Source organism: Homo sapiens, chromosome 4 (genome assembly GCF_000001405.40).
Source record: "Homo sapiens chromosome 4, GRCh38.p14 Primary Assembly".
Classification (NCBI taxonomy): domain Eukaryota; kingdom Metazoa; phylum Chordata; class Mammalia; order Primates; family Hominidae; genus Homo; species Homo sapiens.
In genome coordinates, this window is record NC_000004.12 from 123,739,906 (window position 1) to 123,755,920 (window position 16,015).

At 37.6% G+C, this 16,015-nt stretch overlaps 2 long non-coding RNA genes and 1 pseudogene across 2 annotated transcripts in view, besides 3 other annotated features; 1 reads left to right on the forward strand and 2 right to left on the reverse strand.

Moving 5' to 3' along the window:
- LINC01091 (long intergenic non-protein coding RNA 1091) overlaps positions 1-16,015 on the forward strand; it is a 280,788-nt gene that overhangs the window by 89,915 nt on the left and 174,858 nt on the right. The gene's annotated exons all lie outside the window — the stretch shown is intronic.
- LOC124900775 (uncharacterized) lies at positions 4,814-5,768 on the reverse strand. Its single transcript, XR_007058264.1, has 3 exons — positions 5,640-5,768; positions 5,414-5,484; positions 4,814-5,294 (listed from the first exon to the last, which is right to left on the reverse strand). It is a non-coding gene; the product is annotated as an uncharacterized LOC124900775 (long non-coding RNA).
- RPL21P50 (ribosomal protein L21 pseudogene 50) lies at positions 5,808-6,362 on the reverse strand (annotated as a pseudogene).
- Positions 9,125-9,710: an enhancer, noted in NCBI's record as "H3K4me1 hESC enhancer chr4:124670185-124670770 (GRCh37/hg19 assembly coordinates)". NCBI's record gives its function as "activates a minimal SCP1, AML or CMV promoter by ChIP-STARR-seq in naive H9 embryonic stem cells {active_cell/tissue: H9 hESC(naive)}" and the evidence as "EXISTENCE:reporter gene assay evidence [ECO:0000049][PMID:30033119]".
- Positions 9,711-10,294: an enhancer, noted in NCBI's record as "NANOG-H3K27ac-H3K4me1 hESC enhancer chr4:124670771-124671354 (GRCh37/hg19 assembly coordinates)". NCBI's record gives its function as "activates a minimal SCP1, AML or CMV promoter by ChIP-STARR-seq in naive and primed H9 embryonic stem cells {active_cell/tissue: H9 hESC(naive and primed)}" and the evidence as "EXISTENCE:reporter gene assay evidence [ECO:0000049][PMID:30033119]".
- Positions 10,295-10,878: an enhancer, noted in NCBI's record as "NANOG-H3K27ac-H3K4me1 hESC enhancer chr4:124671355-124671938 (GRCh37/hg19 assembly coordinates)". NCBI's record gives its function as "activates a minimal SCP1, AML or CMV promoter by ChIP-STARR-seq in primed H9 embryonic stem cells {active_cell/tissue: H9 hESC(primed)}" and the evidence as "EXISTENCE:reporter gene assay evidence [ECO:0000049][PMID:30033119]".

Sequence of the window (16,015 nt, forward strand, 5' to 3'; positions counted from 1 at the left end):
TTTTCTGATGGAATAAATTCTGTGACAGCAGGGACCACATATTATTCATTTCTGTATCCCCACCTTCTAGCATGCTATGTGGTTCAGTGTACACCAACCACGGTTATTTGTAGAACTCTTAAATTGACCTCACTGGGATCCGTGGGGATGAAGGCAGTGACTGACGAAGGAATTTTACTTCCTTTCATGGGGCTTGCCTGATAGTGGCCTGACTTTAAATTTCTTTCAGACAACTTAACTGGACAGATAATTTAGCTCTTCTCCAATTTGCAGTCTTATTCCAGAAGGGACTATATTTTAAAAGGTGGAATTCATATGTTTACATTATTTGTAGATTTTTTTCTTATGTCATAGTATAGCTTGTTTGCCAACCACATGTATTTCCCATTTACTCATTTCTTCTACAGAACACATATTAAGATAATGGACTTTCTAAACACATGAGACAAATACCTACAAAATGCGTGAAACAAAATGGCCCATCAGCAGATTTTCTCATAGAAGAAACCCGTAGGCACATAATAGAATGCTCTCAGTACAAAAACAAACAAGCAATTACCTATGCTGCTTCCTGTGGGAAACTCAGCATCCTACCACCCATGGTGATGACTTCTGTGATTTTTTTTGGAGGGGTTACATCATTCTAAGGAAATTCATTCATATGTTTGTCAATAAATGCACATTTTATTTTCTTGGACAGAAAACAAAGTATGTTTTCGTTCAAGTTTATTTTCCTCTTTCTTTTGTTTTGTTTTTTTAACATAAACATTCAACATGCAATTTAGAATAATAGTGCAAAAGGCTGAATGGTGGTCGTCACAGGCTGATAGTGGGGAGGGAACTGTGTGTTCCAGAAACATCTGGAATATTTGTGATGTGGTAGTTGCCTAGAGTGTCTTCCTCTGGGCTTTGACATTAAACAATGCCTTCTAGAATTTAACTGAGTCAAGATATATTTAAATTGCAGACGTGTATTGTTGTTAGTCTGATAAAAATCATATTTGATGAATCTGCTCTTAATTTCCTTCTCTGTATTATAAAAGCTCTTCCTTTCTTATGTTAATCCAACATTTTCAAGAATATTATAAGAATGGAGACTTGAAATAAATCATATTGGGAAACACCAGTGAGAAAAGGTTTTGAAAATTCAAAAGGTGAAAAATATATCTAGCCCCAGTAGATAAATGTCTATGGTGAGAATTGATGTCAATATAATTTTTATTTTTTAATTTTTCATTATAAATTGTCAATTTATAATTGTATAAATTTATGGGGTACAAAGTGACATTACAGAGGATGGGAAGATGATGACCAAAGTGTTAAAAATCTCACTGAGGCATGAGGAATATATATATGTGTGTGTGTGTGTGTGTGTGTGTGTGTGTGTGTGTATATGTATTTAGTTCTATTGCACAGTGTGGCATATATTGTTAAAAATATTGTATAGTTCAACATAATTTTGAGAGTACGAAGAGTCCTGATTTTGCATTTTTCTACTTAATATTAGATAAAATACTAGTCATTTCAATCTGTGTCTTCAAATTTTGGCATCATCTTCTTTAGGTATGTAGAATCATCATCAATTTATCTAGGGCTTTTTGTAGAAAATTATCTATTTGAATTAAAAAAATCCTCAAGTTTTACTTAAACCTGAAAATTGCTATATTTGTTCTTTTAGTAATGGTAGTTTAAACAAAACAGCTTTATGAAATTTGAAGTTTAACAAGAAATTGCTAATTTTGAAAAGTATATTTTAGATATATGGACTAGAGACAAATTGTGAGATATTTTGTACTTTCTATTCTGAAATCACTATAAGATTTTAATAGAGTGTTCAAAGTTTCATTTCATAAGTAATATTTTTTCAAGTATCTACAGAAACTATCTGCTAATGCTGAGAAGAAAACACTTTAAGGAATCCATGATTATTAATTTATTCTTCTTGATTATATGGTTTGCTCCTCATACCCTCTGGATGCTCAGTCATAGAAAAAAATGTGATCCTTTAACTACGGGGTTAGAACAAAGGCCCATTTTCTGCCCACTGCTTATAGAAATCAAGAGACAAAATTTTACTTAGAGAGCTGTGGTCTAATGGAAATGTGGGTATTCAGAAGTAGCTTCTGAATTTAAAGTTGCATTTAAAGTTGGCATTTCTGTCCAATCTGGTTGAGAATCTGAAAGCAGTTCCACATTTCTTCATCAGGAAGTCAGGCTGACTTGTGATGAAAGATGATGAAGACAAATCCCAAACAGGGCTTCCTGTTTGTTTAAACCCCCAACCCAGGAGAAAATCGCTTCCAAGTTTCCCTGTACAATCACTGTAATATATTTTCTTTTCAGATTGTTAGCAGACTGCTCAGTTTGTGCTTGGCATTTCAATTATAGTGAAAAAGGTGAAACCCAGAAGACTCAAGGAATTCTCATTAGGAGTCTGAAATTTGATAGACTTTTAAAATTAACCTCTGCTTCTTGTTCTATCTTTAGTAGGCACATTATTCATTAAATCAAATGTATTGATTATCTGCTTTATGAACAGTTTTGAATTGGTTACTGTGATGGATTAGAAAAGAAGAAAATATGGCTTTTGTCCTCAGAAGTCTCTCTTACTAAAAAAAAAAAATCAGATTGAAATACAGAGAAAAATTTCAATTTAAAGATGGCAACCACTTTTAAGGAAGGACTAGATTGTTTCCCTAACATGAGTGCTTGTGCAAAGTGAGACGTTTTGTTTTGTGAATGACTTTTTAGATATTAAACAGTAGGAAAGAGAGGCAAAGGAATCAGGGAAGAGTGAAAACTTTGGAAAAAGACTTAGATGCTTTTCCTAGAATGCTGGGACATCTAAACCATGTTTGCACAGAGGTAATTAATGTAACCTTAATGTTAATTATACTTAATGTTATATATGTTAATATATATAGCTAACATATACTAAGCATATACTTCACATTGACTACTGAGCTAAATGCTGTACTGGCATTTCCTCATGTACTCCTGGGAATAGCCTTATGATATAGGTGGGATGCATTTTCTAGAAGAAGAAATTGGGACAAAGGTGAAATAATTTTTAAATAATTGACACTAGTGTCCATGTTTTAAACTTCTGCTCAAGGCTTTGCTTCTAAAGAACATTCTTATTTCTTCCTTGCTTTTCACATTTTCACCTGCTTTCATTTATTTTTTCCTTTTCTCATCTCTATCATCTAATTTTCTCCCTTGATTTCTTAACCCTTCTCATAGTTTCTCATAATATGTTGCTAGTCTGTCAAAATTTTCTTGTTTGACTGATGGTTCACTGAATACTTCTGTTGCTGTTGTATTCAAAACTATATACATGGATGATTGCTTTTTTTTTTTACTTTTACAGTCTAATGTAGATATGAATATGCTGAATACATGTACTTTGATTAGAAATGGAAGTAAATATCACTAAAGCCTAACATAATTCTTCTTCATAAAAGGGGCAAAGAGGCTATGAAGGAATAAGACATTTATTGCTAAAAGCATTTGTCTGCACACACACACACACACACACACACACCCACACACACACACACACACACACACCTGTTTTTTCTGGAGAACAAATGGTAGAGTTTCTGCCCATAAAGGATGGGCAGCATGTGTGTTCATATTTTAAAGCTGTCCAGCAAATTCTACCTACCACAAGTTAACTGTCTATTAGAACACAAGGATTCCATGTTCCTGTCCATCAGCTTCTGTCAATCTAGTGTGGCAGAAATCTTCTGAACCTTCAGCCTATTGAGATATACATAAATTCTATCAAGAAACTCTATAGAACATGGCACTGTCTTTATGATTTGGAGTGCCAGTGGAACTTGGTCATAATCAGTTAGACCCTTAAACTAAAATGCTCTGTAGGGGACCCACTGCCCACTGTCCTTTATAATGCACATTATTTTCAAATGAAACCATGGTCAGGATGAAGGCCAGGCTGCCATTGGAGATAATATTCTGAGTAACAGTTTCATTGGGAAATCATGCTTTGCATGGCTGTAGAAGTAATTCAAAAGATGGATTGCCTTGATCAGGCCAAAAACCCCTCAAACTGTTCTATTTATCTCTTTAGTGCTTCAAAAGCCTTGTAATTTCAATGATTACATAACAATTTGGCATATGTGAGTTCTCTGACAAAGTCCAGAATCTCAAATTGTAAAAATTAGTTTAACACAGAGTCCAGAATGAAACAGATTGGCAGAGCAAGTGTTTTTGCATCATTCATGACCCTTACCAGCTAGTCATTAATGATTTTGCCCAATACAGAATTCTAAGACTATTTCCCTTCTGGCTGTTTGAATAATTTACCTAGCAAGGTTAAAAAAATGTACGAGAATATCTTTAATTGAACAGCAGGGAACCTGTAATACCATGTGTTCATGAGAAATGATGCAGGGGAAGTATTTTTTGACCTGTGTTCTGCTGTCTTCCCTCAGAAGTTTATGTATCAAGGGAAGAGATGGGCCTGCACAGGTCTAATTTGTATATACTAGAATCCACATACAATGTTGTTGAAAAAGTAATCTTGGTGCTGAAATTATTTAAAAATTCACTGGAGGAAATGAATATTTGCTACCATTGAAAAGTGTCCATTTTATATAACCTAGGAAAAAGCAGACTATAAAACTAAAAGAACAAAACAAGTCCTGTAAAAATAAAGTAAGAAAAAGCCAAAGCAAAATAAAGACCAACCCAAAAAACCAAAAAGGCTGAATATATTTACAAGATTTTGTGTGTGTGGGTGTAAGCTTAAAAACTAAAACAAAATAGACACCAAGACGTGAACTGTTTGTTCTGCTCCATTTGGCTAAGTTCTTAAAGGTTACAGGAAGATAGTGTACTTATTGCTTAAGATGATGATAATTTATATTAAAAAATAAATACAGGCATGTGAGCAGGAAGGGGAAATTGCTTCATTAATTACCTGGTTATCTTATCAGGCCTCTATTTTTTTTGTTTTCTGGAATGCAGAGCAGGCTTCATGAGGAGTACTGAATTGCTTTGGCAGCAGCTAGCCAAGCTGAGTGATTTGCAACACTCTTTGTTCACTCTGCATTTATGTTTCATAATGTGAGCGTCTGCCTGGGTGTGTTGGTGCCACTCCGTGTACATCCCTTCTCTCAGCCAGAGGTCCAAGGAGGGGCCAAACTGTCTCCCTCTGAACTTTCAGTTAGCAAACAGCACACAGTCGATGTTGCCCGATCCTCTGTGGTCAGCGCAGTTCCTGATTCTAACCCCCCACTCCATAAGGCAAGCTCTAGAAACCAGGGTTCCTGAAAAGGAACAAGAAAAAGGTGATACCAGGTGAAACCATCAAAAGTTGTTTGCGGTAACATTAGCCCTATGGGTTCAAGCGCCCTTCTTTCAGTTTATGCAGTCACGCAGTGGTTACCTCTTGCTGGGTGACTTTATTCTTTTATCCTTTGTAGAAATGTTGTAATTCTGGCAAAAAGCCCACAGAATCTATGTTTAAAAAGAGAAACAAATAATGCTAAAATGCAATGTAGTGTATGTAATTAAAAATATCTTTCCTTGAACTTGGACAAAATAAATTATTGTGTAAAAATTATTTATTTTCCTAATTTAACTGCAGATTTGAACCTTAATCTTATTATTACTTTTTTTCCCTGGAATCTCTATGTTCAAAACCACTTCTTGATCTTCCAAAGCTGTGATATTTGTGAACTCAATTTGCACAATCTCTAAACGATGCTACTGGTAGCCCAAATTAATATGATAAATTACAGTTATTTCCATGCATTGTAAATCTTCTCTTGATTTTTTTCAGTCCAGAGGTCTTTTTTTTTTAATACCTATTATGACATAAGGAAGAGGTTCCAGCACCCCAGGGTCCTTCCCATTGGTTCTCACACGGTGTGCTTCTCTGGGTGGAGCACACTGGCGCTTCAGTTGAACCCAGGTAGTTTTCTCTTTGGCTTCCTTCTCTTTCTGATTATTTTCCTTCACGTGTTTCAGGAAACTATCTTGGCTCCTAGAGTGCTTAATGTGCTCAGTACGCACTTTAATTCTCTTGGCAAGAATCTTGCCCTTCATTGTTTGTTCACAACAATGCCAACAGCATTCTGGGTAACATTCTAGACTCTTCCAGTTTTGCTATGGCAACATTTGTGGGACATTCCTTTTCGAACAGTACCCATTCCCTGGATGTCAACAGTATCACCTTTTTTTTTTTTTTTAACTGTTTCTCATGCATGTAGCCAAAGGAACAACTCCATGTTTCCTAAAAGGTCAAAAGAATGTATATGGGGTGCCTCCCCTCTTCCCCTTTGTGTTTCCCATTTTGATGGATCACTGGAAGATGGCAGTTCTAGCTAAAGGAAGACTGTCTCTTGATTTTAAAGGATGAGGCTTTATAATATCTAGGCAAATGGCCAGAGTGGAAAATAATCTGTACATCACAATAATAATGATAAACATAATAATAAAAATAGTAACAATAATATGAAAGTACTCCACATTTTGTGTTTTTTGAAAAGAAAATATAGGGGAGGAAGTATATGTTTCCTCCTCTTCCCCCTTATATAATTTTCATAAAAACACATATCTCAAATGTGATCCAGACACAGCCAATCTGTGCCAATATGTCAATACAAAATGACAATTGCAATCAGATATCCCCCACAGGCATTACATAGGATTACCTGCATTTCCTAAGATAACTGTGTTTTAGAAAATTGACACAAAACTGACATAAGACAATCCTGGTAAGTAGGATTGGTGATCCATTTAATAGAAATCTACAGTGGAGGAATGGTTTACACTGGATGGCTTCTTGATGTTGCTGACCGTTTAAGTGGGAGAGATTGCCAGCTAAGAGTAAATATTATACATATATATATTTCTTCTTCTTTTTTTAATAATAGAGACAGGGTCTCACTATGTTGCCCAGGCTGGTTTTGAACTCCCGAGCTTAAGCAATCCGCCTGCCTTGGCCTCCCAAAGTGCTGGGATTACAGGTGTGGGCTACCATGCCCAGCCTTAAATGTTATATATTTTTAAGTAACATTTTATATGGTTTTATATACATTACTCCTTTTTAGTCACATATAAACCCTGTGAGACAGATGGGGCAGAAATTACATATTTTTACACAATAGGTTAGGCGATCTGATTACAATCAGTACTGGTATGTGTAACCTAGAGCTAGGATTAGGACTAGGCTCTCAGACTTTCATCAGCACATCACACTGCCAGGCTTCTTTCGGCTGAGCTGGTGGGGCTCCTCTGCTTCCTCCTTTCCTTGCGCTCAATCGCTGTGCTCTCATCAGCAGCTAGGAGCAGCAGTGCATTCTTTTCTTCCCTCTCGAACAGTCCCACGTTTAGTAGGAATTAATAAGAAGCTCCCCTCCATAAAAAAGTTAGAAATCCATTTCTTTTCCAAGACCCTTCTACTTCAGTTAAAGAAACTGAGATCTAGACGCAGAAGGAGGCCTGGGCTACAGACTCAGTGCTCTTTCTGCTCTATCACATTAGCTGACATCAGTGTCGCTATAAGAAACAAAAAGAATCTATTTAAAAACACAACTGATTACAGCTATTTCTGCCCCTAGAGGAGGAAAGCTCCTATGGCTGGAGATGATGGCTTTTTATTTAGAAAGTTTCCTTGTTATTGCCTTTAAATAAAAAAGGTTAGGCTTCCATTCCCTCCTCCCCTGCATATGGTGGTGCTGGAAGGTCTGAGCAGCAGGACAGCAGGCAAAGGGTTTCTAGAGACGTGCCAGCCAATGAGAAAGCCATGTGGGCTGGGGTGGTAGAGTACTTTTAAGAAGTGTCAAAATGAATATTAATGTAAAGGGCTCTGATGCCACCTCCCTTGCTGAAAAAACTTCAGTATAATCTGCTAAATAGATACTCCAATGCCTTCCTTGAGTGTTCTTTGTAGGGTAGAGGAAAGAGGGGACACAGGTACATCAGAGTCCTCATTGGAAGAGTGAAAATAGCAGCTGCTTGAGGCTAAAGTCTAGATTTCAGTGGGTACAGAAAACTTGATGTAGACTGTAGGGCATATACCACACAGATTTGCAGAGATTTTCAGAAGAGCAACAGCCTTCTTATTAGATGTGCATTTGCTGATTTGATGGAAATCTCAAGGTCACTGTAACTTCAGTTGACTTCTCCCTTACACAAAGAAGAGGCTAAAAGCCGTTATTGATTGCTCTCAAGAAATCAGAGAAGAGGCCATGGCCACTCAAATATCCTAAAAAGGCTTTTGGATTTATGGAACTGTGGAAACTAACAGTCTTTAAATATCAACTGGTCCAACCTTTGTCTACTTCCTTCTCCTTCTCATCCTTTTTGCAATAAAGGAATCAAAGACTTAGATTCAATATCCAATGTATACCAGGCCGTTGAGTAATCACAGATGCAAGACTAGAATCTGACTGTGGATTCAGAGTCAGAAGCCCTGGGTTCTGCTCCCTGCTGCATTTTCTTATTTTCTGTACCTTCTTGAACCTCAGGTCCCTCTCTGTAAAAAGAGGTAAGTAAAATCACATCTCACAGGGTTTTTGGAGGACCCTATGAGTTAATGTGGGATTTGAAAACTGTAGGAATGTTAAAACATTTTATTGTTATTATTTATGAGGTTATTTGGGTGCCAACAATTATACGAAGAGGATTATTTTGGCTTTCCTGAAATAGCAGCAGTGCTATAGTTGAAGTGACTTCACTGTTCTGCATGTCTGTGTGTGCACATGTGCAGATCCAGGCCAGGGCTAGGCAGTGAAGTTTATAGATTGTCTTTTGGGATAACGAGCTTTTGGGCTCTTGGTAGGCCTTCTAAATAATACATTGTTTTTCTTCTTTCTTTTCTTTTCACAGGAATTAGAATAATAGCTAAAATTTCTCACTTGTTTCTTAAGGAAGTTAGGAATACATCTTAATAAATCAAGAAGTTCAAACACATCATCCATAGCAACTTGAAGTAGACTCCTATTCTGTTTAACCATGCCTTTTGAGAGTCAAAATCCAGGGATGCTCCCTACAGCCAGTCTTGAAGAACAGAAGGGGAACTACATGCCACCAGGCTATGGGAGCTGTTTCAGCAGCAGATCATTACCTAATCTCTTCCTGTCTCCCCGGTAGAGCTGAACAGAGCCTGTGAGAGAAAATTCCGGATGTTAAGGGAAGGAGAAAGAGGTATAGGTGTAGGGACTAAAAGTTGATGTGGTATCATTCCTATGAAAAAAATAATCAGATTCATTTTTATATTTCCTAAGCACGCTTATATTTGGTGAAAAAAAAAGAGCATGTTAGAGACATTATTTATGATGGTCATGCCTCAAATCTTGTCTTTACTTACAGTTTCCATTTCCAAAACTCTCTTAAAGCTTCTAGTCTTTTTAAGCCTGAGTATTTTAATAGAAGTAAAGTCTCTCCTGTCAGAGTGCTATTCCCTAGACATGTTTGCCTCCAGGGTCTGAAAAGAAAGGAGTCCATTTTACACCCTGAAGCAGAGTGTACCCCTCTGTTCTCTTCAGACAGTGTGGGGAAGGATGTACCCCTTTAATCTCAAGAGGCAAGAAAATATCGAAACAGATGACTTTGGCAGGTTTGCTGAAGGCTGGCGGCAGGTTGGCCGGGCCGCAATCAGTGGCCTCCAGAGTTCAGCGTGACAGGAAGCAGGGGCTGCTGCTCTGCCTGGTCATTAGTGAGGAGCAAGAGAGCCTGATGATTAGTCCTTGCAGCACTGGAGAATGTTCCCATATCTGGCCCAGGGGACAGAGAGGTCCCAAAACATCCCAGACATTTGGTCGTCAGCGCTTTCATTCTCTCATCACTCAGGAAGTTAGAGAGAAGATAAAAACAAATTAAAGAATTTTTTTTAAAGCACTCAAGTTTTTCTTAACATTTTCCATTTCCTTTTACAACACAAGTTTTAAACCTTGTGATGAAATGCTAAGTCACAGATGTAAAGGTGTCAAGAATTATAATTGCACGTTCCACACACAACCTTAGCTCCTCTGAGCATGCAAAAAAACCAGGAATTAAATAACTTGCTGATTCAACTTTGTCAATACAATGAATCATATTAACAAAATGTTAATGAATTAGTGAACTTCCGCAAAAGGTGAAGAACAGCCATGAGCATCAGCATTATCTTGAGATGTTAGGGAGAAAGGGTGGTGGGAGGGATTGGGAGGTAGCAGCAGCACCAGCACAGAAACAAGGGCCAGAAACAGGCCTCCTGCAGGGGCAGCCACTTCCTCCTCCTGCCTGCTTAGCCCTGCTCTGCAGACACACAATAATCACCCCAGCGGGTCTAGGGATCAAATGACGGCACTGCTGAAGGATTAAGAGCAACTCTATCCTCTTGGCTTGGACTTTGGAATTTTCATTAAAATGACCTTGGGTGTGGTGAGAAAGGAATTCAGACAACAGGGATCAAGTCTTAAACATGTCACCTGGGAAAACAACCGAAGGGCCCCTTCAGAGAGAGCTTTCTTTCTGGGACTCAGGCAGAGTTGTCACACTTGTTTTCCTAAGTGTTTCTCACATGGGATTAGCCTCCAGATATGTGAAAAGTGAGGAGTTGAAGGTCTGAGGTAGGCAGAATGAGGCAAAAAATAAATTACAATGTGCTAGTGCAGGCTGGACTTCTTAACGTTCTCAAAGCTCTGTAATGTTTGACTTGTTGAGAGATTGCCCTCTTCCTCTCCTCATCTCATTGCTCTCAATGGAAGGAGCTGGGGCTCCATCTGCAATTCATGGTGGGTTATTGTAAAAAGCACTGTAGAGACTGGGTTGGCCTTATGTAGGCAGCAGCCTGTAGTCCAGCAGACGTGGATAGATGGCTGCAGGCTTGAGACTTAGGTAATTTGAGGCCGGGCATGATGGCTCACACCAGTAATCCCAGCACTTTGGGAGGCTGAGGTGGGCGGATCACGAGGTCAAGAGATCGAGACCATGCTGGCCAACATGGTGAAACCCCGTCTCTACTAAAAATACAAAAATTAGCTGGGTGTGGTGGTGCATGCCTGTAGTCCCAAGTATTTGGGAAGCTGAGGCAGGAGAATCGCTTCAACCTGAGAGGTGGAGGTTGCAGTGAGCTGAGATTCTGCCACTAGACTCCAGCCTGGCGACAGAGTGAGACTCTGCCTCAAAAAAAAAAAAAAAAAAAAAAAAAAAGTAACTGGAGAAAGGGTACAGGCCTCAGAAATTTAATATCAGAAATGGGAGGACTTGGGAGAAAAAGTAATCTGCTGATGACTACCACAAAGTATGTAAAAAGAGAATAGGTTTCTCAGTGTGGCTCCTATGTCTGTGGGCTCCTGAAGTGGGCTTAGCTGAAGTAGGAAAAATCATAGAAAGGTCCTCTTATAGCATCACTAACGAAATCAACAGATGTAGGCTAGGAAATGGCAATGACTAGACGTCAGAAAAAGGTTAGACAGTGAAGGTTCTGCTGAGACAGAACTGCAAGGAAGTTTTTTGGTCTTTGTCCATGCCCAGCAAGGTGTGGATCCTGATGTCTATCACATCTAGGATTGGCCATGCTTGGTTCTTAAACCAGTGGGGTCCAGTCTGATCATGTAAAGGACCGTCTTCTCCCATCAGTGCTTAGAGTAGTGAGGAGATGGGACCTGGTTCTGGTACTTGTGATCAGAGTGCCGGCAATTAAATTTGGCCCTTGGGATTTGTAAATTATTACATAAAGCTGCAAGTTTCCAATCTAACCACTGTCATCATCATCGTCATCACCATCATCATCATCATTATAGCTACCTATCAAAGGATAAACTCCGTTAGACATGGTATATACTGTTTGTAATCTTTTCTGATTTGGGAGACCAAGGAAATGAGTATCCTTATAATGTCTGATGCTCTAAAATACTAGAGCTCAACAGTTTTTTGAGGTCAGATTTTTAGTGATATGACCAGAGAGCTAGAGAAAGCACTTTGCAGTGTGAGAGAGAAGAAAGCAAAATTATATACATAGGCAATGGGGTTGGCTAGAGAGTTACGAGGGTTTTGGTTGTTCTTAAGCCACAGACTCCATTTTATTCATAGGTTCTACAAAACATTTTTTTTATGATAAAATTTTCTTTTTGCTGAAACTATGGAGGTTTATGTCACTTGCATAAGATAGTCTGAATTAGTAAATGTTAATAAAGCCTACCCTTCTTGTAAAGAAAAAGTTACAAAGAAAGAATAAAATGATTGTAAAGGTTAATAAAAGGATATAGGAAAATAATGGCTTACCATTCCATACTTGCCTAGAGCAGAGCTCCATAACCTGTGTTAGGAGAAGATAACTTTATCTCCAATTGCAAACCAAATTAAAAATATCATATATTGATACCTAAAGAATTGTTCTCCATAATGTCTCTGATTCATAAAGCTAAATGGTGTGTATTCCAAAGACTATAAGTAGACCTTTTTGCTTTTTTAAAATTTGTGAATGTCTGAAGCTCTCTATCTTTTTGGTTTTGTAAGTTTGGAAGAGGAAGGAAATATTCAACTCTTTTTTTTTAAACTATATTTCACACCATGTTTACATGATAATGGATAGAAAATTGTAGCTTAATGAAATCATTACATTCTTCTGTTTCAATATGGGGAAAGAGTTCACAAATTTATATTGAAAGAAAGTCAATGGCTACATGATGTATACTTAGAAAATCTAAAAGAATCTGCATGTACACTATTATAAGTGAATTTAACAAGTTCACTGGATATAGTATCAATGTATAAAAGTCCATTGTATTAATATATGCCAGTAAAAAATGAATAGTTAATAAAAATTGTAAAATATACTGTTCAGAATATAGTTAATTTAGAGCACCTGTGAATGCTTATCTCCAAAATGGCCTACTTGCAAGGTTGGCCCTTAGCTGGCATATGGGAACTTGGATTTCTACAGGGTTCTCATGACCCCAGCTGATAAGAGTTTTTCACTGTATCTATACTGTGTGCAAACAATGTGGTATATTTTGAACATCTGTTTCCCTCTGGGAGTCTGGAATTTTGGTATGTTGGGCACAGAATCTCCAGTGAGTTTTCCTGGTAGACAACATTCTGTACCTCACAATTTATTGCTGGGGGAATTAAGCTTATCCTGTGAGATTCTCCTGGGAGAGAACTTTTTGAAGCGTGTACTTGGTGTAATCTAGACTTCACCCAATGCTCCCTTTCCTTTTGTTGATATTGCTTTGCATCTGTTTGTAGCTCTAAATCATATTCATGAATATAACCATATGCTGGGTCCTTTGGGTCCACCTAGCAAATCATCAAACCGAAAGATGCTCTTGGGGACCTTAGATAGAAATATCATTTACTGTGATAGTAGGAAACATAAAAAACTGGAAACAAGTATGATAAAAGATATACAATATCATTACATCTAAAACTTTAAAATATTATTGAGAACAATTAAAGAAGACCTAAGTAAATACTGTGTTCATGGATTGGAAGATTCAATACTGCTAATATCTCAATTCTTTCTAAATTAATTGATAAAGTCAATGGAATAAAAATAATAATTCCAGCAGATTTTTAAAGGAAGTTAAATTTGATAAGCTGATTCTAAAATTTACGTGAAAAGACAAAGGGCTAAGAATAACCAGGACAAACTTGAAGCAGAATAAAGCTACCTAATGTCAAGATTTATTTTAAAGATATAGTAAGTAATTGAGAGAATATGACATTGGCATAAGAGTGGACAAACTGACCATTGGAACAAGATAGGAAGTCCAGAGACACACCTACACATATATGTTCAAATGGCTTATGATAGAAGTATAGAGGGGAAAGGATTATCTGTTTAGTAAATAGTGCTGCATTTATCAGATAGCCACATGGCAAAAAACATATCATGTACACAAAAGTCAATTCCAGATGGACTGTAGATCTAAATGTGAAAGACAAAATTATAAAACATTTAGAATAAACATAGATGAACATCTTTCTGACTTCGGAGTAGGCAAACTTGTTAAAATAGGAATCAAATACCCTCACATGCAAGAAAATAGTGATACAATAGAGTAAATAAAAGCAGGACCTTCTGTTTCTCAAAAGACTGAATTATAGAGTGGAAAAAGTACTTGCAGTACACATATCTAACAAAGGACTTATCTCCATAATATGTTAGCAAATTTCACAATTATTAAGAAAAATCAACAACAGCCCAATAGGAGAGTGGGCAAAAACTTCACAAAAGAGACAATCAAGTGTATAATAAACATATGAAAAGGTGCTCAATTGTATTAAACTTAAACAATTCTGTAAACTAAAACCACAGTGGGATACCACCAACATGGCTACATAAAAATGATGGAAACTATCAAGTATTGGTGAGGGAACTGGCCCTCTTATACAGGACAGATCAAAGGGAAAATTTGTTACAAACTGGTTTAGCAGTATCTACTAAAGGGGAGCATATGCATATCCTATAACTAGGTAATTCTCCTCTTAGGTATATACCCAGCAAAAATTCATTCATATGAGCAAAAGATATGTGCTAGGATATCACTGCAGTCCATTGATAATAGCCAAAAAATTGGAAAATAAGCAGTATTCATCAACAGTAGAATGGATAAGTAAATTGTACCGTCTTCAAAAAATGGGTTAGTATATAACAATAACAGTGAATGGTCTACAATACATGCAGCAATGTAAGTGAGTCTCATAATGCTGAATGAAGAAACCTACAGAAGACTACATACTGGATAGTTCCTTTTATAAAGTAGGAAAAAGGTAAAATCAATCTACCATGTTAGAAGTCAGGCTCATAGTACCTTAGGATGAACAGTCATGGGGAAGAGAGTGCAGGAGTGGTAGAGATTTTTGTGATACTGGGGAGGTTTGAGGGCTACTTTACAGGTTGTGTTTAGTTTCGAAAAATTCAGCAAGCTGTACACATATGATATAGAAACTTTTCTTTCAATGTGTTTTTTTTTTTTATCAAAAAGCTAAAAAGACAGTATTGGTGGTTTTAAAGTGCTCTGTTTTGGTTTCAGAATTCTGATGTAGTCATTTGATTAAACTGTTTGTTTAAGGATTGTGTTTGAGGAATTTTATCACTTATCATTAAACTATTAGTCTCACGGTGAAAATCTGATATAATACAGCGGAGATATGTCCCAAGTGCTTCAGGAGGACCGAGAATGAAATGGCTAATGTGCGGAAGTGGGAGTAGGAATTCGGGGAGAGCTTCATGGAGAGTATGATGTTTAAGGAGAGCTTTGAGAAGAAGGAATTGGAATAAGCCAGTGCCTTTTCTACTTTGTCCTTTGATATCATTACGTTTTAACTTTGGCTGCACATTAAAATAACCTGTGCAGCTTTAATACATTGAAGCTAGAAATCCATCTTCATTCAGAAATTCTGATTTAATTGATCTGCAGCTGGGAGCTGGGCAGCCGTAATTTTTCATAGTTTTCAAGTCATTTTGATGTGCAACCAGGGCTGCGAATTACTGATTTAGGCAGACAGTGAGAAAGTCAGTCAAGGAGTAGAAAGGAGTGCAGGACAGTGGCTGGAAACTGTAAATGACTTAGAAAGGCTGCATCACAGGAAGTTAGCAAGGCAGGTTAGGAAGGGTCTGAATGGAGAGCCAATCTAAGGAGTATGGCTCTTCAGTAGGCAAAGGGAAGACAGTGGAGTATTGTAGGCTGATGGCTGAAAGGATCAGATTTTCAATGAGCTCTTTAGAAAGATCACACTGGCTGGAGTCTGAAGAATGAACTGGAAGGAACAAGACTGCTGGAAAGAAAATCAGACTTTAATTAGCTGCCTTTACACTTTTTTTTTTTTTTTTAAACAGTCAGGGGCTTGCTCTGCCACCCAGGCTGGAGTGTAGTGGTGCAATCCTAGCTCACTGCACTCTCGAACTCTTGGGCTCCAAGGACCCTGTCAGCTCAGCCTCTGTAGTAGCTGGGACTGCAGGCACCCAGCATGGTGCTTGGCTAGTTAAAATTTTTTTTGTTGTTAAAATAGAGATGGGGTATCGCTTTATTGCCCAGGCTGGTCTCAA